This window comes from Homo sapiens, chromosome 4, assembly GCF_000001405.40.
Source record: "Homo sapiens chromosome 4, GRCh38.p14 Primary Assembly".
Classification (NCBI taxonomy): Eukaryota; Metazoa; Chordata; class Mammalia; order Primates; family Hominidae; genus Homo; species Homo sapiens.
In genome coordinates this window covers 137665268-137689023 of record NC_000004.12, presented here as the reverse complement: position 1 = coordinate 137689023, position 23756 = coordinate 137665268, and the positions used below count along the sequence as shown (strand labels likewise).

Below are 23756 nucleotides of genomic sequence, written 5' to 3'. Positions count from 1 at the left end.
CATTCCAGCATCAATTATGTGGTAATCCAGTGGTTGATATGGGAAGGCAGTGTGAATGTTTATTTTTTTAAATGAATCTAAAGGGGACTGGTTTGTTTTAAAATAAAATTATGAACACATGGCTTTACACATGTTTGATGGGTTTAAGTCCTTTGCAGTTGTTATCAACATTTAAGCTCAAATTACTCCATCCGCAGCCAATGGAAACCTCTTGAAGTTGGCACCTGAGTTCCTTTGGCATAACCCTGTTAAATCTTTGACAATTTTTTTGTTATCTGGTATAAGATGTGGCTCATATTGAACATGTCCTGCTCCAGAACTGGAATTAGCCATTTCTTTTTCAGGAAACACTGTTTTATTTTAGTGGGAATGTTACATAAGATCTTTGAACCAGATACAAGAGATATTTACTGTTAATGATTTGATCATGGTTTCTAGGCCCTTTCAGTGGACTGAGCAAGGAAACAACTGCACTTGTATGCAAAGATAACAAACCTTATGAGATCATATTGATTCCAATTCAAAATCAGGACTACAGAGCCTTTATTTTACCTCTTCTCAATGACATCTAAGCATCCTTCCTTTCATAGCAAGAATCCTGGTTCTCAAGGATACACATAACTGCTTGCTTGTTTTAAGCCTATATTACACATGCCAGTTGCAAAATAATCACATTAATGCTATTATTAATATAATTATAAAAACATGAATAACTTTTGCATTTATTTTCCCTGTTCTTCCGTCATTTAAAAACAATTATCCTATATTTAAAAGAGTACATGACCAGGGCCTACTATGCTCACTACTTCTTAAACCGCATTTAGTTTTCATTTCAGATCTTTGCGCTCATTTATGTATTGATGTCTCTCTAGTTGTTTTGGTTATATAAAGTATATGTTCTCGTCAATCACTTAGGAAGTCCTCAAGGAACAACATTCTCTAATTCTTTCATGTTATTAATAACAACAGTTTTTCTGTGTTCTTAATACTCAAAAGTCGCTTTTTCTGAATATAAAATTATTTGCTCACTTTCTTTCCTTGGTTTTCTTTAATAAATTTCTCATTTTATTCAGCATAAACCACTGTTGTTAAAACGTCTAATGATAGGTCTGGGCACGGTGGCTCAAGCCTGTAATCCCAGCACTTTGGGAGGCCAAGGGGGGCGGATCTCCTGAGGTCAGGAGTTTGAGATCAGCCTGGCCAACATGGTGAAACTCTGTCTCTACTAAAAATACAAAAATTAGCATGGCATGGTGGCACGTGCCTGTAATCCCAGCTACTGGGGAGACTGAGGCAGGAGAATCACTTGAGCTGGGGAGACGGAGGTTGCAGTGAGCCGAGATAGCACCACTACACTCCAGCCTGGGCCACAGAGCACGACTGTCTCAAAAAAAAAAAAAAAAGAAAAAGAAAAAAAAAGAATGCCTAATGATAAATTGTACATTTATATTTTTAAGGCCCCAAATATTTTTTCTTTTTTAGAAAGACCAATAATTTTATGAGACTATGTCTTGATGTTGGGGTCTAGTGTGCTTCCTCAACATGTAGATTAAAATCTTTCATTTCAGGGAAAGTTTATTGTTCTGTAATGTTTACGTGGATTAATTACTTTTTGTGGTTAGCCTGTTCTCCCATTTTAGTTGTCTTCTTAGGGACCCCAACTATTCTTATGCTGGTTAGTTTTTATCATTATTTTCTTAATAACTTTTGATATTTTGATCTGCTTTATTGAGTACATCTTAAGAGTACGCTGTAATTGTCAGTAGGGATCTTATTCTCTTCTTTCTTTCTGTAATTTTGTATAGGGTTTGACCTCAAACTTTTCTCTTGTTTATTTTTGTGTAAGATTTTCTTGGAAGTTTAGAATTAGGAAACATTCTAACTTCACAGGGGTTCTGTTCTCTCTCTCTCTCTTGCTCTCTCATGGTGACATAAAATTACATGACAGCTTGTTTTCTGTGATTTCCTGGCTCTGAGGGCTCCAACATTTTGATGGAACATTTCACCTTTTTTTCTGATATTCGTGTCTTGTTCCATTTTGATTTTGCTCACAGCATTGTCCGTTTCTTAGAAAGGAATCCTGATAGGTCACTCTTTAGGGTTCATAGAGGTGGAGCTTCTCCCGCCCCTTCGGTCATTCTTACTGTCAGCCCCCTGCACTCACCTGCTGTAAAGCGCTGCCCCCTTCCATCCTAGTTTCATCCCTGCACACTTCCAAGTTTTATGTCTTCGTCTTTTCTGGTGCCTTGGACGCTACTCTGTTGATTCTGTTTTTTGCTTCCCACATAGTTGCAAGTACTTTGTAGGATTTGTTTATTCCAGTCAAGATTTTGGTGCTCCTAGGCGTATCTTGTGGCCTAATTTTGTTGTAAATGTTGCCCAGTGATTTTGATTTTACGGTTGAGTTTTCTACCGTTATATTAGTTTCCTATGGCTGCCGTAACAATTTACAACAAATTCAGCCACTTGAAACAACACTTTATTGTCTTAGAGATCTGGAGATCAGAAGTCCAGCATCAGTCTCACTGGGATAAAACCAAGGTGTCTGCAAAGCTGTATTGCTTATGGGTATTGCCTTTTCCAGTTGCCAGGCTGCCAGAGTTCCTGACCTCCTGGACTTTTTCTTCATCCTTCAAAGGCAGTAGCATAGTGTCTTCGTAGTTTACTTTGACTCTGACACTTCTGTCTCTCTCTTTCCTCGTGATTATATTGAGCCCACTGGATAATCCAGGATAATCCCCCATCTCAATATCTTTAATTTAATCATATCTGCAAAATTCCCTTTGCCACATAATTTAACATATTCACAGGTTTTAAGGATTCGGTTATAAACATCTGTGGGGGGTCTTTGTTTTATCTACCACAGTGGGTATTCAGTAAGATTTTTTAAAGTTGCTGCCACCATCTTCCAAAAATCCTTGCCTGAACAATTATTTATTTTTTCATTATAACTAAATACTGATGTACACTGACATTTTGAAAGAAGAATTTTGAATATCACAATTCTATCATGCTTCCCTTAAATATAAATTTCTGTCTAATGCAATATGTGCTATTTTATCATATCTTACACCTGGAAATATTTTAAGCAAGGATATGAAAAGTGAGATGCTAAATGTTGTTGTGTGTGTGTTTGTGTGTGTTCGTGTTTGTGTGTGTTTACAAACTGTTGACTCTGACATGGTTAAGATACTTTACTATAAGAAGATAGATTTAAATGAAACAAGCAGAGTGATTAAAGTTTGCAAGTCACTAAATAATGCCCATGAAAAATCATTTCTTCTGCATGTGGGTCATAGATGAATGGCAATGGAAAAGCTATGCCTCCTATGTCTTGTCTGAATTAACGCTCTTCTGAAGAGGGACGTGGAAGTCATTCAGGCTTGCACATTCTTTAATTTCTTTTATTAAGGCCTGCACAAAGTCAGTGTAGCTAGAAGGCAATACACAGGCTTTCAGAAACTACAAAGTGTAACAGCTGGTCCCAATTACCCTCTGCAGTGTGACCATATGCACAAATGTTCAACTTTCTGTTTAAGTTCATGAATTTAAAAAAAAAATGAATTCCTTGTAAAAACTTGAGACGTGCTATGTTCTTTGCATACATTTATTCATACAAACTTTTAACCTTCTAGTTATAATCAAATGTATGGAGAAAGTAGCTCAAATAAGACAGTGTTTAAGCTGGCAGAACAGAAATATTTTTAACTTTAAATTAAACATACAATGCAATAGTTTTTAAAAAGTTATCTTCCTAGAACAAAACACATTTCAGGAAGCATGGAGTTTTAAAAGATTCATTTAATGAAGAAATTGAGTAATCTTGCATTAAGCATAAAGGCAGATAGGTAACTTTTATATCAGCTGATTAAGACTAATGAGATTTGGCATTTCCAACTCCAGTGACCTTTATGAAAATCATAGGCTGTCTCTTAAATTCATCATATTGAACTAGAGATAACAAATATACATGCTGAATTGACCTTTTTAATTGCAATCTGAAGTTGAAAATTACACCTTTTGATCTTCTTGGTTTGAAGTTCAAAGTAGGTGTTTAATACTACAGAGGGCTCAGTTAATTTGAATTCTTAACTTTCTGTACGAACCATTATGCTTAAGGTCCATTTATATTATCTGTCGTAATGAGTGAAATGTAGCTAGCACCAATAAGGTGGCATTCATTAACACTGAAACTTATTACCTAACATGTATCACAATTGTATATATCTTATTTTCTTAAGTGGGAATATAGCAATTTGTACAGTGTAGGAATATGCATCAACTCTTTAAGTTAGTGACAAAATGATAATAAAATGCATCTTCTGATCAACTAAATGACATTATGGATAGGTAAGGAGAAATTATGTGCTGTTTTGAAAGTAGAATGTTTACCATATTTAAGAAATGAACCATGTGAGTAAGAATGAAGAGTATGTTTATAAAGGTTAGAAGTTCCCTAATCTCCCTCTCTTATAAATTTTTACAATTTTAAACAAATGTGTTTCTCTGAAAAAAAAATTTAAGTAGCTATTCAGGAGCATACATTTGTAGCTGCAATTATATATTATAAAAATAATGGTAAAATGGATCCTGCTTAAAATATCCCTAGTGTTAATTATGATTTATTAGTTTGCATAGTCTGGAAAAGGAGAAATATAATGATCAAACCTCCTTTCCAAACACATTTTATTATAGTTACTATTAATTTGGAGGCCGGGAAGTGAAAATAAATTGCTGGAAGGCAAATGAATTCCCATTTGTGTGGTATGGGCTTTTTCCATTTGCACAGTTTCATCATCATAACAAAACATATTAATATGCATACTGTTTGTATGACATTTTGTTAAACTGGATGAATGAATATTTATCAAAATCCAACTATCTAAACTTTATTAGGGCCAGGCATGGTGGCTCATGCCTGTAATCACAGCACTGTGGGAGGCTAGGGCGGGCGGATCGCTTGAGGTTAGGAGTTCGAGACCAGCCTGGCGAAAACCCTGTCCCTCCTAAAAATACAAAAATTAGCTGGGTGTGGTGGCTCATGCCTGTAATCCCAGCTACTCTGGGAGGATGAGGCAGGAGAATCACTTGAGCCCGGGATGTGGAGGCTGCAGTGAGCCCAAATTGCACTACCACACTCCAGCCTGGGCGACAGAGCAAAACTCTGTCTCAAAAAAATAAATAAAATTTAAAAAAAAAACTTTATTAGAACATTTCACTGACTTTTCACTATTGACAGAATCAAACATTAGTTATCCAAATGGTACTAACCTGTCCTAGGAATAGAGTTTAAAAGTGTTTGAACCACCTAATGATACCACATTCTGGCGTTGTGATAAAACATGCTTCTCTAATTTCTTCAATATCTAAAGTACTAACCCATTTGAAAGGATCAGACATAATACCATGCACAAGACTAGAAACGTTTTCTGCATATTTTCTGATATGTTGAATTTTTATTTAGTTTTTATAACTAAAGGGCTATTTTACTTAATACAAATTTCACCTGTAGGTTGTTAACAATCACTTAACCTCTTTAAACTTTTAGCTGTTCTAAAACTAAAGAATAACTAAGATTGCTCCAGCTATGTTATTCTATGATCTGTAAAACTCAGTACAACTCTGAAAGTTGAAAAGGCCCTTCAATCATCAGCTGAATCTTTCAGCATGCAACAGAAGTATGAACATTAATGATCTATTTAAGATTCACTGTCAGAAATATTTTAGGCTGACAGAAAACCATCTAATATTTTATGTCGGTATATTTTAGTAATAGATGATGACACAACTTCAACTAATGTGTCAAGCACAATATTTAATATTCTTCTGGGAAGATTATTTCAAATTATAAATCAAAATCAAAATAAACAACAGTGCTTCACTTGAAAATCATAAATATCTGTCAAATGCCAATGAATGGTTTATTATGCAGAAGTCAAATATTGATAGATGGAGTGACTTGTACAGTTGTTATAGCTATTTTCAAAGCTGTCCATTCTTAGAAGACCCTCAATGTGATCAATAAGCATATTAATAGGGCAACCAAGAACTGTAGGAAACCTTTTTTTATTTTTTCACCTCTACTACTCTCCTCCACATTTTTTGTTATAAAGTGTTCTGTTTCCTATTTGTAATATATTTCAAACAGAGACTTAAACTTCTCATAGCCTAAAGGAAAAACAAAAACTTTTGGAATAGCTGTAGTTGTAAGTCAAGGGTACCAGGGGGAAAACAGTTGCTTGCATCTTATCTCTTCCTCTAAACATTCAGGCAAGACCCATTCATGTCGATGAGGACAGAACAGCTCGAGCCTCTTGGCAACTCTATGCTATCATTGCATCTCATTGCAAAGCAGACAATATTTATGCTTACATTCTGAAAAAATAAAAGAAAAGACTACCTTTGATAAAAGATATCTGCATTAGAATTACTGAATTATCCAATCTGTGTACTGCTGATCTTCATCACTTCATTCTGATTTACTTTTACCCTATGATTGAACAAATCAAACAGTTATTGGTGTAATCCTCTCCCACTTTTTTAATCTAGTAAAGGAGAAATGGATGCCCTGCACCTCTTAACTCACAAATATACAAATTACATGGCATTAAATTACATTGATTTTGAAATAATGTTAATAATGCGACATGATTCATATAATTTAAGAGGCTAAGGGATCACATTGTTGGCAACACATGAAAAAATTAATGTTATTATTGGGGTCAAATAGAACCTCCACTTGAAAGTACCTTTTTCCAGTTGATCTTGAATTCTCTATATTCTCTCTATGTACAAAAATGAAAATGATTAATTTGCACATATGCTTTAGGCAACAGTAGGGTATATCTCATTATATAATTTTCATAGCATTGATGGATGAGAAACATAGAGGTAAAATGCCAGTAGTAGTATAAGAGAAGTAGCTTTATTATAGAATAAAATTTCATATGAATCTTGTGAATGAAGAATTCAGTGTGTATGTCTATATATGTGCATGTGTCTCTGAAAATGATTTATGAGTGAACCTTAAAAAATAACATGAAATAGACATATAGCATCCATATAAAACATTCCACCCCACCTCTCCCAGGCTGGAGAGCAAATGCATGTTGTATCTACCTGCCTATGTTAAAATTTTAGTTTCACTGGAGTCATCATAAACAGTTTTGAGTGTACACTAGTATAGTGGACCATCGTTATTCAGGTTAATAAATTCTTCACTCACAATTGGTTGGGTAGGGATGGTGGTAGAAACTTAGCTAGCCAAGCTTCATCCTAAGAGTCTCAGAGTTACCATTGACAGTGGATGATCCTTCTTAGAAAGCAAAAAGAGAGAAAGGTTGGTGCTTGAGTAAACTTCCACAGGTATTATTTTTCTAGTTTTTCTATGAGGCTATGTATTTGGATCTATTTTGTGCTGTGTTGTATGTATGCCCTTTTTCCTCTGTACATGAGGAAAAACACAATTATCTGCAGGCTGTTTGTTGAAGGAAAGGGGCTTTTGTTGTACACCTGGAAAAAATTACATGTATGAGGAGGAAATGTGGAGAGTTAAGAGTGGATAGGGACAGCATCAGAATAGACTTCCAGACTAATATTTAGTATGAATAACCCTCAGTATGGGAAAGTGTTCGATATTATTAAGCTCCAGTACTTCTTGCAATGTTGATCTCTGTTATGTATTTGGCCAGCAGAATCAATGGCTATGTTTAAACATTTCCCTAGTGCAAAAAACCTTCTCATTCTAGGAAATTTCTGTCTTCAGGCCAGCTCCAATAGAAAGCCACACCAGGGGAGCTTTTAAGGGGATTTTCCTCTAGAACAACAACAACAAAAAATCCATTAACAAGAATTAACTTGCTTCTGAGCCAATCCCAGGATAGACTGTTTCATTTTAATACATGAAAATGTGCTTAAATATAACCTGGGATTTTGAGGGTTGGGTGTTTAGTCTTAACCACTGCCCTGCTGGCCAAGCACTGTGTTGGTAATGAAGATATTTCTGTGGGAAGAAAGAAGGGGAGATGTGATAATTGTGCTTCTAATTGACTCTAAGATTAGAATTCAATGCACTTTGGCTGGTGTAAACCTTAGCAAACATGATATTAGCATTTCCCTTCATAGACAACCTATGATCTAGTCCTTTAAACACAAAGAGTATAAGATGGGTGCACCATAGGTACAATCCCACACCAGTTATTTTGGAGGAAGTGGGCTTATCTGTTCATTCTAGTGAAAGAGTGTTGAGATGATAAAGTGCAAATGCAATTTGTTAAACATATGTGCTTTAGAACTCTTTCATGTTATAAATAGAACAGAGATAGTTTCTTTCACCTGGATTCAGTAGCTGAAGTAAAAAAATCTTGATTTGGTAATTAAGCAATAGCTTACAACTAAATGTCTGTGAGTTGCTTTGCATTCTCTTTTTTGTAAAATGGTATTTTTTTCTTCCTTTCTCCTCTTATTCTTCCTCTTGTTAGTTCTCCTTCTTCCTTTTCTTGAGCTACTGCTTTCCACGACCCTTCACTTTCTCCCCCTCCCTTTTCTTTTTCTTCTTTGTTGAATATCAATGGAAACATGTGTATGAGGGAGATTATATACACAGTGCCTATGGTAAATTTGAAACACCAATGTTAGTTAGAGAGTCTATTCGTTTTCTAGGGCTGCTGTGACAAATTACCACACACTTGATGGCTTAAAACAACATTCATTTATTAACTCATAGTTTCTGCATGTCATGGGTTTCTGCAGGCATAGATATATCACAATTTCAGAAGTCAAGTGTGCTGGGATAATTCCTCTGATCAGTCTCACAAGACAAAAATCTAGGTGTCAGCAAGCCAGGCTCCCTTCTGGAGACTCTAGTGAGCATCCATTTTCTGATTTATGCAGGTAATTGGCAAAATTCAGTTCTGGGCAGTTGCGGGAGTGTGGGCAGTGTGGCTTGTCCTCAGCTTCCGGAGCTATCTGTGCTTTTTGGCTCATAGCCTGCATCTCTAAAGACAGCAATGGGTGGGAGAATCCTTCTCTTGCCTCTTCTCTTCTGCCTCTTCTTTTGCCACATCTCTCTCATCTACTCTTTTGTTGTCTTCTTCTTTTTTTTCTAACCACCTCCTCCTCAGAAAGGAGAAGGATGGAAAGTGGGTCTGGAGGAACAAATGGAAGACATCTAGCATACAATATTTTCTCCTTTAAATAATTATTGTAAGGAATAAATTTTTAAAATGTATGTAAACCACTGCCATTTATAAAGGCACATGTGATTACACTGGGGTCCTACTGACAGCTCAGGATAATGTCCCTAATTTAAAATCAGCTGATAAGCAGCCTTAATTCCATATGCAAAATCCCCTTGTCAGGTAAGGTAACACATTCACAAGTATAATACTGGGAGATAAAGGTCATCTGGACCAAAATCCTGGCTATGATACTGTATTAGTCTGTTTTCAGGCTGCTGATAAAGACATACCTCAGATTGGGAAGAAAGAGAGATTTAATTAGACAGTTCCACCTGGCTGGGGAAGCCTCAGAATCATGGCAGGAGGTGAAAGGCACTTCTTACACAGTGGCGGCAAGAGAAAAATGAGGAAGAAGCAAAAGCAGAAACCCATGATAAACCCATCAGATCTCGTGAGACTTATTCACTATCGTGAGAATAGCACAGGAAAGACCAGCCCCCATGATTCAATTACCATCCCCTGGGTCCCTCCTACAACACAAGGGGAATTCTGGGAGATGCAATTCAAGTTGAGATTTGGGTGGGGACACAGCCAAACCATATCATACACTAATCTTGTTTTGTTGGCTTAATGACAGAGCATTAGCTTTAGGAACCAGACAGGTAGGAGATGAGTTTATAAACGTTCAGGGAAAATTAAAAAGTTTAATCTGGTCTTATAAGTCTGTAGCTAATAGAATGTCTGAAAGCAAAGCTAGGTTTTCTTTTTCAAGACTTTTGTATGTGTATGTGAGTGTGTGTCCAATTTGACACATGAATAATTGCTTGAGTTCCTCAAATTTTACTCTGTGGTGCATGAGTCATTTGGCTTGTGCCTGAAAAGAAATGTAATGTCTTGTTTTTGGTTAATCATTACAACCCTAGAAGAGCCTTCATGATACTTTCAAGAATGGTCAATTTAGGGTAACATGGCTTTCCATATGCTCACCAAATTGAATGTTATTATATGACATATATAAGTCTGCTTTATACAATATACAGATCAATTGAGCTTCAGAAAAATATAGTTGTCAAAATTAGACATGTAATTATTTAGAATAATCAATATTAAGCTTAATTTTCTTACTATACACTTTTATAGTGATTTTTAATGAAGGCATTATTGTGTTGTTTCATATTCTTTGCAAGTAGTTTAATGACCACATAAATCTTTTCAATGTCATAATATTATTTTCTTATCCAGTCCTTTACTCTTGAACATGTTATAGTTTGATTTTTTTTAGTTTTCTTTTAAAATATCAAAAGATATGCTATATTAAATCTCATTTGCAGGCACTGAGGTTTTTTCATTTTAAAACATTTTTTATTCTTATGATACATTTTAATATATAAGATTATTTGAGGAGGAATGATACATACTTTCTAGTTTTCTTTCAAAAAAAATTAATCAACATTATCACCAGTAATGTAGAAGAATATCAATTTCACAATATCTTACCAATATATGATTATCATTTTTTGAAGTTTTACCTATTTTGAAAAAAGCCCCTTTAAATATGGTAAACTTTACATTAGGTAAGTTCCTGCTCTTTAATATTATTTTCATGAGTTTTTTTTTGTTTTTTTGTTTTGTTTTGTTGTGTTTTAATCAGGATTCTGGGAACAGAGACAAGACTAGATGGTTTCCTTGGGGAATTTTATATAAATATCTGCCCTGGGCTAAAAATAGTTATACATCCCAAAGGAAGTTGGTCAATTCAGGCTTAGAAATGACTAAATTGAACAATGTTAGTCATAGCCTGAACTATTAAAGTACTATCCTTTACATAAAAAAGATGTGCCTGACATTTTTTCAGCCTTAATCTAAAAAATGATGTTGAAAGGAATGAGATAATGTCTCTAAAAAGCTTTTGATTTATGATGGAAATAATCACAAAAACTATGCTATTATTATTTTGTTTTAAATTTAACTAAAATGAAATATTACATAGGGATTTGCTCCTCTGTTTGATATGGAATTAATAAGCCCAACTTCTTTTTTATATGTTCTCCTCTCAAAAGTATAAAAATAGTAAAAAGTAATTTTTAAAATTAGTAAGCCAGGCAACAATAAAATATTACCTTTTTAATCAATTTATTTATTTATATATTAAGCATTTTTCTACACCTAAAACATAAATACATTTAAATACACTTAAATACACTTCAGATATATTTATTTAACATTTGCAATAAATATGTCTGAAGTGTATTTAAATCTTCACTCTCAGCAAACTCATCATTTGTCTATCTATGTAGTCTAGTGTGGATGGTTGTCCTGAAGTTTTCTTTTTAACTAACTTGTTAATTTTAGTATAGTTTTATCTTAACAGAACAGTTGCAAAGACAACACAGACATTCAATGATAGATGCAAAGACAGTTTGCAAAGACAATATATACCCAATGATAGATGCAGGAGGCAGATAAGGGGGGTACACGGAGAATCGCTGACCCGCCCCACAAGTGTTCACATCAGATCCATTTGTGCAGATGAGGGAACCACCCAGAGTCTTGTATGCACATGTCCATCATGGATTGGGGACCTGCCTGTGCACTGGGATGATGGAGTGGAGCCATGGGAGGATCACACCTTGTGCAAGGGAGAGGAACCTGGCCTCTTCGGCGCGTGTGTGGTGGCCTGGTATTCAAAGTGTCAGGTGTTGAGAACCCGTTGGCAGGACTCCCTCTCGCTTTGCTGAGTGCTTTCTTTCTCTTTTCCTTTTCACCCAATAAATTCTCTTCTGCTTACCCTTCAGTGTGTGTGTGTGCCTAATTTTTCCTGGTTGTGACACAAGAACCAGGATTTAGCTGCACTAAGAAGCAAAAATTCTGTATTATCAACACACGATCTCTCCTCTTGTTAATAATTTACATTAGTATGGTATATTTATAACAACTAATAAACCAACATTGATAAATAATTGACTGAAGTTCATACTTTATTTAGATTTATTTGGTTTTTGTCTAGTGTCCTGTTTCTGTTTCAAGATCTCACCCAGGTTTCAACTGTACTTTTAGTCACCTTATCTTACCAGGCTCTTCTTAACTGAGACAGTTTCTTAGACTGTTCTTATTTCTAATAACCTTAACAGTTTTGATGAGTACCAATCAGGTATTTTGTAGAATGTCTATCAGTTGGTATTTGCCTCATGTTTTTCTCATCATCAGACTGGAGTTATGGGTTTTGGGAAGGAAGGGAGTCCACAGAGGCAGAGTGTCATTTTTATCACATCATGTCAGTGGTATACACTATAATGTGATTTACCACTGCTGATGTTTATCTTGATCACCTGGTCAAGTGTCAGGTTTCTCCAGTGTAAAGACATTCTTTTCTTTCCCTTTCCATACCATACTCTTTCAAAGGAAGTCACCCTAAATATCCCACTGTTAAGGAATGAGACTTATGTTCCACCTCTTTGAGAGTAAAATAGCTACATAAATTATTTGGAATTATTCTGCAAGGGAGATTTGTCTCTTCTGCCCCATTCATTTATTTATTCAATTATCTCTTTATATTAGTATGAATTCATTTGTATTATAATCCAATAATACTTTATTTTGTTGCTCAAATTGTTCTCTGACCCTTGAGAATTCTTTTCAGTTGGCTCCTGTGTACCTTTGACATATCTCCATCATTGTGAGATATTTTTGTTATTTGAACATTTTCTTACTTTTGCATGCTACGAGATGCTCCAGCCCATCTTGTATATTCTCTGCCTCAGCCCTAGACTCTGCCATTTCTTTAAGCAACCCTAGAACCTTTAATTGGAGAATAATATTAGAAACCAAAGCTAGGGGGTAGATGCCCTGGAGTATTTTTGATATCTAAGTCTGTCCTACAGGCAGAAATTCTTGAAACCTTTATCCCATGTGTATCTTTGATTAAGTCCCAAGAGTCTCCCTCTGATGAATGTTTCCAGGTTTGTGCAAATACAGTCCTTAAGAGTGCATCACGCTACCTGACTTCAAACTATACTACAAGGCTACAGTAACCAAAACAGCATGGTACTGCTACCAAAACAGAGATATAGATCAATGGAACAGAACAGAGCCCTCAGAAATAATGCTGCTTGTCTACAACTATCTGATCTTTGACAAACCTGAGAAAAACAAGCAATGAGGAAAGGATTCTCTATTTAATAAATGGTGCTGGGAAAACTGGCTAGCCATATGCAGAAAGCTGAAACTGGATCCCTTCCTTACACCTTATACAAAAATGAATTCAAGATGGATTAAAGACTTAAATGTTAGACCTAAAACCATAAAAACCCTAGAAGAAAACCTAGGCATTACCATTCAGGACATAGGCATGGGCAAGGACTTCACGTCTAAAACACCAAAAGCAACGGCAACAAAAGCCAAAATTGACAAATGGGATCTAATTAAGCTAAAGAGCTTCTGCACAGCAAAAGAAACTACCATCAGAGTGAACAGGCAACATACAAAATGGGAGAAAATTTTCGCAACCTACTCATCTGATAAAGGGCTAATATCCAGAATCTACAATGAACTCAAACAAATTTACAAGAAAAAAACAAACAACCCCATCAAAAGGTGGGCGAAGGACATGAACAGACACTTCTCAAAAGAAGACATTTATGCAGCCAAAAAACACATGAAAAAATGCTCACCATCACTGGCTATCAGAGAAATGCAAATCAAAACCACAATGAGATACCATCTCACACCAGTTAGAATGGCGATCATTCAAAAGTCAGGAAACAACAGGTGCTGAGAGGATGTGGAGAACTAGGAACACTTTTACACTGTTGGTGGGACTGTAAACTAGTTCAACCATTGTGGAAGTCAGTGTGACGATTCCTCAGGGATCTAGAACTAGAAATACCATTTGACCCAGCCATCCCATTACTGGGTATATACCCAAATGACTACAAATCATGCTGCTATAAAGACACATGCACACGTATGTTTATTGCGGCACTATTCACAATAGCAGAGACTTGCAACCAAGCCAAATGTCCAGCAATGATAGACTGCATTAAGAAAATGTGGCACATATACACCATGGAATACTATGCAGCCATAAAAAATGATGAGTTCATGTCCTTTGTAGGGACATGGATGAAATTGGAAATCATCATTCTCAGTAAACTATCGCAAGAACAAAAAACCAAACACCACATATTCTCACTCATAGGTGGGAATTGAACAATGAGAACACATGGACACAGGAAGGGGAACACCACACTCTGGGGACTGTTGTGGGGTGGGGGGAAGGGGGGAGGGATAGCTTTGGGAGATATACCTAATGCTAAATGACGAGTTAATGGGTGCAGCACACCAGCATGGCACATGTATACATATGTAACTAACCTGCACATTGTGCACATGTACCCTAAAACTTAAAGTATAATAATAATTTAAAAAAAAAAAGAGTGTGACCGTGGTTTTATGATCTCCTGATGCTGCTAGCCATGAATATATACTGGTGAGTCATATATGTATCATGTCCTAACTTTGTCATCTTCCCTTTCTGAATCAGAACATGGATTGTCAAAGGTAAGACTGATTAGAAGAATGAAGGGCTAAGATTGCTGACTAAAGACTCACTCTCTCAGCTATTTCCTAGGCACTTCTCTCTGGCGCCAGATACCAGAATATTCACAACTTCTACTGTTGGCCAAACCCACAAAAGAATCACTTAAATGACCACAGTCTACACCATTTATTTTATTGAACAAAAATTGACTGAGCATTTACCATGTCACAAACCCTATTCTAAGCACTGTGAATACAGTGCAGAAAACAACAGAATGGTGGGCCTCTATACCCACAGAAATGACATTCTTATGGTGAAGACAGGCAACAAACAAGTAAACAAAGAAACATGTACTAATGGGAAATATCATGAAGAGATAAAGCAATGGGGGTATTTAGATGTTCAGGAGAGATGATTTCTACAGAGATGGAAGTGACAGGAGATTTCAACCAAATGAAAATCTTACAGATGAGAATTTTGGGAAATAATAAGAGCAAGTACAAATACCTTGAGGCAGAAGCAAGCTTGGTGTGTGAAAGAAATATATTAAGAGTCACTGTGACCAGAGAAATAAAGAAACAGGAAAAGTAGCACAAAAGTGAGGCAGTAAAGTAAGATATGGCAACTGCATATGTGGAACTTTGAAATCTATTCTAAGGGTGGTTAGGAACTAGTGGATGGTATTAAACAGAACACGATCTAATTTGAGCTGGCTGCTGCATGGTGAGGCAATTATAAGTGGGCAGATTTGTAGCTATTATAATTTACCTATCACTTATGCTGTCTGTTCTCTTAAAAACTTGTAAAGCAAAAAGGGACTGAGGCACATCTCAATTGATTAAAGGTTTATTTTTACCAAGGCTGAGGATGCATCTGACAAAAAGAAACACAAGTCACAGTAGGATCTGTGACCTGTGCTTTTTCCAATGAGGGTGTTGGGAACTTCAATATTTAAAGAAGAAAGAGTAAGTAGGAGGGGAAGGAAAAAAAAAGGAGGGTGGGTAGGCAATGATGTAAGTAATTACATTCCTGTGAGGCTCTGATTAGTGCTCAGCAAATCTACATTTTACATGCGAGAAGAAGAGAGTGGGGGGATTCATTTGTTTTGCCCAATAAATCTACATTTTACATGAGATAAAGTAAGCATGTGAAATTAAAGCTATCTGTTTCAGTACAAAAGAAAGTCAGTTTTTGCATGACTCAGTTCCCAAGCTTAACCTTCTCTTTGGCTTAGTTAGTTTGGGGTCCTGAGATTCTATTTTTCTTTCACAAACTTTACATGTATCATTTTAATCATTACTTGAAATAATACTATGAGGTAGATATTAATTATCCCCACTTATATTCTAGGAAATTGAGGCTCAAAGAGATTAGAAATGTAAATGAAGACCATCTAGCTACTAAGTAGTAGAGCCAGTATTTCAACCTTACTAAATTACACAGGTTCAAATTTAAAACAAAAAAATGTAATTAGGCTAATTTAGAATTGTTATATTCTGTTAAATGTTGAATAAAGAATGTATTTAAGTTGTGATCTAAAATAATGTTAAGACACATTTAGCCAGTGGTACCCACAATATTTTAATTCTGCCCTCATTCTAAACACGTTTTACTCACAAACCTCTAAGATAGATATACGCAGGAAGGAGACAAACTAGTAAATTGTTATTAGCTAGAGTGTTTTCTGAAATCCTAATGAAAAACTTGAGTAAGCTAGATTGGGCCAAATAGAGTCCAGAACCAAATATCAGAGGTAATCACACCTGTCTGTGTAGAGAAAGAAAGTAAAAGGAGTCACTTTCTTGTTGGAGTTCCTTCAACCTGCCTATACTATGCCCTTTCAGATGGGAAAAACCATTCTTGGAATAACTCATCTTATTCAGGATTACTGCTCACCACCTAATGGTAAACATCTCAGAGGAGGCTTTATAGACTTTATAGGAGGAAGACAGAGGATAGAGACTATGCTCTTAGATAATGTGGACAGGTCCATACGGCACCCTTCAGCATGAAGACAGTTGTCTTTACACTGACTCATAGGAGTGGGGCTTATGTTAAATATATAAAACTTGGACTTTCCATACAGTTCAATACGTTTTGCAGACTGATGCTGCACATTAATGTATTAAAGACTCCAAGATCCTTGTAGTAAAGGTACTCACTTTCCTTTTTCAAACCATCTCTTTACACACACACACACACACACACACACACACACTGAGAATATTTCCTTTTCTACATGGCACCTATTAACATTCTATTGGAAGGGAATGCTGCGTACCCACCTTGAGAAATCTTGCCTTATATCACCTTATATCACTGAGGGCACAACCCAAAATCTGTCTCTTGGGGTTAAAGGTAATTCCCATTAGATAATGCCTTCTCCAGCCAGTGCCTATTTTGAACAGTCAGATAGATCTTACGGGTTTGCATTCCGAGAGCAAACTTAGTATTTGTTAATATTGATTGAGAAATATATTGCATGCAGGATGAAATTGATTAAATTTTCAAAACTTCCTAAAAGTCTTGAGCAAGAAAGGGAAGAAAGTTGAGAGAGTGTGATCACTATGAGACTGACACAACAAGGCCAGAATAGGCTTTTGCTCTGGGATGCGAAGTGACCTCAGAGAGAGTGAGAGAGAAGCAATTTCAGCCCTAGATAAGATAGAGAGTAGTAATTCTCCCAAATTTACTGTTGAATTTTCTCAATTACATAAAGTGCAAAGAATTTTCTCCAATTTCTAGAGATTAAAGGAACGTTAAAAAATAATAACTTGGCAAGATTCTGTTTATACATAAAATACATATATATTACATATATGTATATTTTAAGAGTCAAGCAAATTAAAACAACAAATATACAATGTTGTTAGGAAGAGTAGCAACTGAGCAAAAATTCTATCTTTAGCCATTTTTAGTTTGGCAAATAAGAACAATGGACGCTAACAAAAAGAAGATGTGCGACATTCCAGCAAAGTACAATAAATTAAATTAGAATAAATGGATTGTCATGATACCATGAAAAAGATGACTATCTGAAACTAATTTTTATAAACTTGTAAACAGAAATTTAAGTCTTGAATTTCCCTTGTAAGGTTAAACTACATTGAACTTTCTGATATGAGATCTAAGAAATATCCCAATTTTTAACATAGTCCTTAATTTGAAAATGGTAAGTACCATGTCCTCTTACATTACGTAAACAACATAAATGAAATATTTATATGCAAAGTTATTATTTGAATTTCTGAAATAATATAGTGTGTTTTCTGAGGATCATTTTTCTTAATATAAAAAGAGAATGTAGGCCAGGCGCAGTGGCTCACGCCTGTAATCCCAGTACTTTGGGAGGCTGAGGCGGGCAGATCACGAGGTCAGGAGATCGAGACCATCCTGGCTAACATGGTGAAACCCTGTCTCTACTAAAAATACAAAAAATTAGCTAGGCGTGGTGGTGCCTGTAGTCACAGCTACTCAGGAGGCTGAGGCAGGAGAAAGGAGTGAACTCAGGAGGCAGAGCTTTCAGTGAGCCAAGATCACTCCACTGCACTCCAGCCTGGGTGACAGAGCGAGACTCTGTCTCAAAAAAAAAAAAAAAAAAAAGAATGTAAAGAAGACGATACAGTTTTACTAAAATCTCAGAATTCCTTTCCTTTTCTTCTTCTTCTTTCTAGTCGATTATTTTTCTCTCTAAACATAGTGAATTTTTAAGAATCTCAATAAAGATAAAAATAAAATTTCCATGTGGAATGATAATTCTATAAAAAAACTAAAATACAAAATTCCTCTCAGAAATATTTCTCTGTTCATCCTCCCTCCATCCTCACATCCTATTTTTCTAGCCTTCTTTTTTTTTCTTAATGTAAGATTCAGCGGGTACATGTGCAGGTCTGTTACATCTGCACATGTACCTCCTGAATTAAAATTAAGGAAAAATGGGTATATCGTAATAGGTATATTGTGTGATGTCTCTAGCCTTTTCTTTGTTAACAAAGTATTATGACAAGTAAAATCTTATTACACCAAAGTGTATGATGAAGTTCTCTGTCTGATTAAGATTCATTAATGGTTTACGTCAAAATAGAGGGTGAGTGACTTTCAACCTTGCATTCTCCTGCACTGAAGTTGAAGCTTAATGTTATTTATTGACCATTTTCCAAAACACTGTGGTAGTTCTAAGCTTATGACATACACTGTCTTCGAATACTATTTGACACTCTCAATTCAGTACATTTTATTTAGATCTTCTAGATTCAATAAGACTAACTGGAAAAATGAGGGATTAATATAGTATATATAAACAAACTGTAGCACACACATACATTTAATAAAACCTCTACTATGGTGATTTTGAATAACATATATATAATATATGTATGTATCTTTCTATTTATATGCATGTATATAAATATAATTTTTCAGAAAGTAAGTGAATTGAACTTTTAAGATTATTTATTCAACATATAGTTATAGGACAATTCTTAATCAACCAGTATATACAGGTGTTATTTGAGATACTGAATGTCAACAAAGGAAACATGAAACTCAGTTGGGGAAATTCCATCTGTAAGGAAACACAAAATTAAGTGATGTATGAATGAGAAAAAGAGACCAGCCCTAAAATCAAGAATTTTGGTTGCAATCAAATAAGAAAAATGGAAAGTTAGAGTGGAAGAGCCAGTAGTAACAGTAGCAACAGATTTATTAAAGAAGACAGAAATAATTTTTAGTTATATTCCTATGTAAATATTGGAGAGCTGTCTACATTAAAATGAGGTTCCAGGGTGGTCCAAAGGAAAATAACCAAGTGAAGCAGAATGTAATCAAAACAGAAGGCATATCTATTCTATATTAGGAAATGGTCATGAACATATGCTTATACTAAGAAATTGGATGTGATTTAGAGTTTAAATATTATTCAACAAGAAAGTTGAAGAATTTCCACATTGCAATCACATGAAAAAGCAGACTGCAATGATGAGCTGTAAAAGATGTGTGAGAAAAGAAACAGACCCCAAATCCTTGCTGCTTTGCTCCACTGGGATAGGCCTTGAACTAACACAGTGAAAGCCAGAGTTTCATGCCTGTGGGGGTCTGTTAATTTTTGCATACTTCATGGATACAAATTTTGTCCCTTTCCCTAGCCAGTCATTTTACAAACTCATACTATTTGTTACACAATAGGGACCAGGCAAGTAAAGGTATGTAAACCTAGAATAATGATGTGTCAGCAGTTTTATTATTTTATACACAAGGCATAACCATATTATTTTTCTATCTTACTTTTTTTAATCAAAGAGTATCAGGATAGATTCTGGAAAAATATTGCTAATATCTGAAATTCTAAATGTATTTTTTTATATTTTTAGTATTATATACACTATTTTCTGTGGTACAAATAGCTTTTTTTTAATTACTTTTCCTAATAAGAATATAAGAATTTTTATAAAGAAATTCTCAGTTTAACATTTCTAGATATTAAAAGCAAACATGTATTTGGTGTATTTCATGGTTGCTATATGATTTAATCAAACTGTCTCCTTCTACTTTGAAAGCAATATTGAAAGCATATTAATTCATTAAACTGGTAGTTTTTTTGTTACTCCAATTGCAGAGAGTGAAGTGGTTCTTAATTAGATTTAGTAATAAACCAAAGCAGACATGGACCCTGACTTCAAAGAACTTATAGTCTAAATGATAAGAAAGATCTTCATTAACAAGTTTTTAAAAGCTCTATAAATAGTGTCATAATGTAACATAGTAGAAAACACAGCAAAAGAAAGGAACTGGATGGTGTGTGTTAGAGTGACATAGAATGTTTTGATATATAGTTATTCTCCTTATACGCAATATATTTCTTCACATCTGGCCAAGCACATGTATAAGAATATAATAAACACTTAAGAAGATAATATGTTGCATGTGCATCTTGATTGTTTCAAAATTAAAGCTTTTTAAATATTAAAGATGATCAAATATTAATATGATGCTGGCATCTATGCTGAAGTTTCTAAGGGTACAGAATACAGCACATGCTTACTTAATAATCTAAATTTCATTTTACCACAGAGAACTGCACCAACTTCCAGTTCATATTCAAATGCAGTTAAGGTGCTGCTTGCAATCTGTAAAGCTTTATTGTCTGAGTCTTACTTACCTGGGAGACCGCTTATGTGCATTTCACAAAGCAGACTTTGGAGCAGTTCTGCTGACAGTTTCCCTGCCTGGATCTGAAGTACTGATGAGGCAGCACCACTCCTGGCAAAATGCTTGAGTTCTGGCGCTTGTTATTCTGTCTTCAAGACCCAATCAATATTTTCAAATGTGAGGAGACATGCACTGCTGCTTAAATAGCACTTGTAAACAAGGTAAAAGGTTTTTTAGTTAGTTTTGTTTTTGATAAATAGTGTGAAAATATTATCTGTCATGCATCTGCAAATATTGACATGCAACAAATATATTAAATATTATGTATTAAAATGTTATTTCTTAGAGAAGCTTTAAATTAGTTATTTCTAAAAAATACAAAACACATAATACAAAAATTTGTCAATAATCAATCCATTCCATTACTAGGAAAATAAATGTGCAATGCTAACCATCTCTCAGAAATGATGGTTTCTTGAGAATGCACTTTAAGTAACATTTTAAAATAAACTCACATAATTAATTCTGTTGAGAAGGTAAGGTTACACAATATTTTTGCATCAATACCTAAAAATACTGATAATAACTAAACATTACTGTAATTCATCTGAAACATGGGACAAGGAGTTTGAAAATTATAGGTTATAGATTGCTTATTTTATTTGGTAAAATTGCCCCAAGCATTTCATGTCAAGTCAACTAACAGGAAGAAAGTTGGCCAGGTGCAGTGGCTCATGCCTGCAATCCCAGCACTTTGGGATGTGGAGGCAGGAAATCACTTGAGGCCAGGAGTTCAAGACTAGCCTGGGCAACATGGCAAAACTCTGCCTTTACTACAAATGTAAAATTTAGCCGGGCGTGGTGGCCCATGCTTGTAATCCCAGCTACTTGAGAGGCTGAGGCATGAGAATCACTTGAACCTGGGGGCAGAGGTTGCAGTGAGCTGAGATGGTGGCACTGCACTCCAGCCTGGGCAACATAACAAGACTCTGTCTCAAAATAAATAAATAAATAAATAAATATTCTTTTTAAAAGCGATATAGAAATTGATATAGTGATTGTGTCTTTCTGTGTTTCTGTTTATTATATATAAAGTCTTTGGGAATACTCAACACTATTTTGAACTTTCAACTTTGAACTTATTACTTTAGATTAAAAAATACACTATATAAAGTGCCCAAAATGGACAGAAAAAATATTTCCACATCCTTTGGAATACTCAGTGTAGTATGGTACATATGTATATTCTAAAAGACTGTTTTAATTAACTTTATTATTTTTTTCGACAACCACAATGGCTCTCAGGACGCTAATTCATGATTATCCTGAGTGCCTAATTTTAGAACTCACATTACTGTAATACATACTAGGCTGTCTTTTTTTTTCCTTAAGCAAATATCATTTTCAAAGTGGAGTAACAAAAGTTTCAAGATGATAGGAAAAAAATGTCAATTTTGGTTTTGTAGGAAGATTTACCTCTATACTTAATTACCTCCGCTATCTACTCTATCTCTGCTGAGCACAATCAATTTATTTCACGTCCATGGTTATTGTTGAAGTACAGTGAAGCATGACAGTGTAAAATGAAACACTAGGAACAAAATGTAAAGGAGGTCCGACAAATAAAGAATATAAATGATAGGTGGCCATGCATAGCTATTGTGTGATGATATTTGCATTTTAAGTTTTCTGCCTCGGTATATGACTTGGCTGCCCCTACAAAAATTATTAGATCTCATTTTGATCTTGCCTATTTGTTTACAGTGCAGCTTAAGAAATAGTTACGTAGAAATTTTTGTTAAAGGGAAAATAATTCTATTACGAAGAAGTTGGATATATAGGATCATAATTGCTGGTTGAAATTTGAAGGAGAATGTGATGTACTCCATTCTCTTCTGTGTGAATAGATTAGATTCAAGAGTTTGGCAAAAATCATATCAGGTAGAATGTGGCCCATCAGGGTTATATTGTGAAATTAATGAGAGCATTCCTAGAATTTTATGCATCAAAAAGATTATATGACACTTTAGGAAGATCAGTCCGACTGTTTTGCAGCTTAATTATACAACAGCCAAGATGGCACAGAAACCTGTTAGGAGATTATGACAACTGAGATTTTAAAATGATGGTGAAGCCAGGCATGGTGGCTCATGCCTATAATCCTGACACTTTGGGAGGCCAAGGTGGGAGGATTGCTTGATGTCAAGAGCTGTAAAACAGCCTGAGCAACATAGCAAGACACTGTCTCTACAAAAATAAAATAAAATAAAATAAAATAAAATAATTTTCTGGATGTGGTGGGATGTGCCTATAGTCCCAGCTACTCGGGAGGCTGAGGCAGGAGGATCACTTGAGCCCAGGAGTTTGAGGCTGCAGTGAGCCGTGATAGCACCACTACAGTCCAGCCTAGATGACAAAGTAAGGCCTAAAAAAATAGAAATAAAAAAAAGATGGTGAAATGAACTATAGTAATGGTCATAACATCAGCACATCCTGTGAGTAAGTTACTCTTCCCATCTTCATTTTACTGATGTGGACGATGAGAGACAGAGAGGTTAAATAACTTACCTACCATTACGCCGGTAGCAAGAAACACAGCCAGGACTTGCACAGAGGGAGTTTGAGTCCAGGGCCCTTTACTGTTTCTCTGATAAAAGATAGAGATAAATCATAGATCCAAGTGAGATTTGTAGGTAAGATTGGTAGGAATTCGTCACTAAAAGGATACAAAAAGTGAGAGAAAACCACAGGCTATATATGTAGATTTGGGAATCATCATCTACCTATGGAAGAGAAATAGAAAATATGTGCAGCTTAGAAAGAAAACAACATCTAAAAATGATATCCTAGAAAACCCCAAGATTTAAAGTCTGATGGAAGAAGTGGAGCCC

General features: G+C 35.3%; 2 long non-coding RNA genes across 2 annotated transcripts in view; one reads left to right on the top strand and one right to left on the bottom strand.

The window, feature by feature from the left end:
* The window catches only part of LOC101927414 (uncharacterized), a 55601-nt gene that overhangs the window by 11842 nt on the left and 20003 nt on the right, over positions 1–23756 (top strand). The gene's annotated exons all lie outside the window — the stretch shown is intronic.
* Positions 8692–23553, bottom strand: LOC107986314 (uncharacterized). The gene is made up of 3 exons (XR_001741842.2): positions 23438–23553; positions 20876–21074; positions 8692–9146 (listed from the first exon to the last, which is right to left on the bottom strand). It is a non-coding gene; the product is annotated as an uncharacterized LOC107986314 (long non-coding RNA).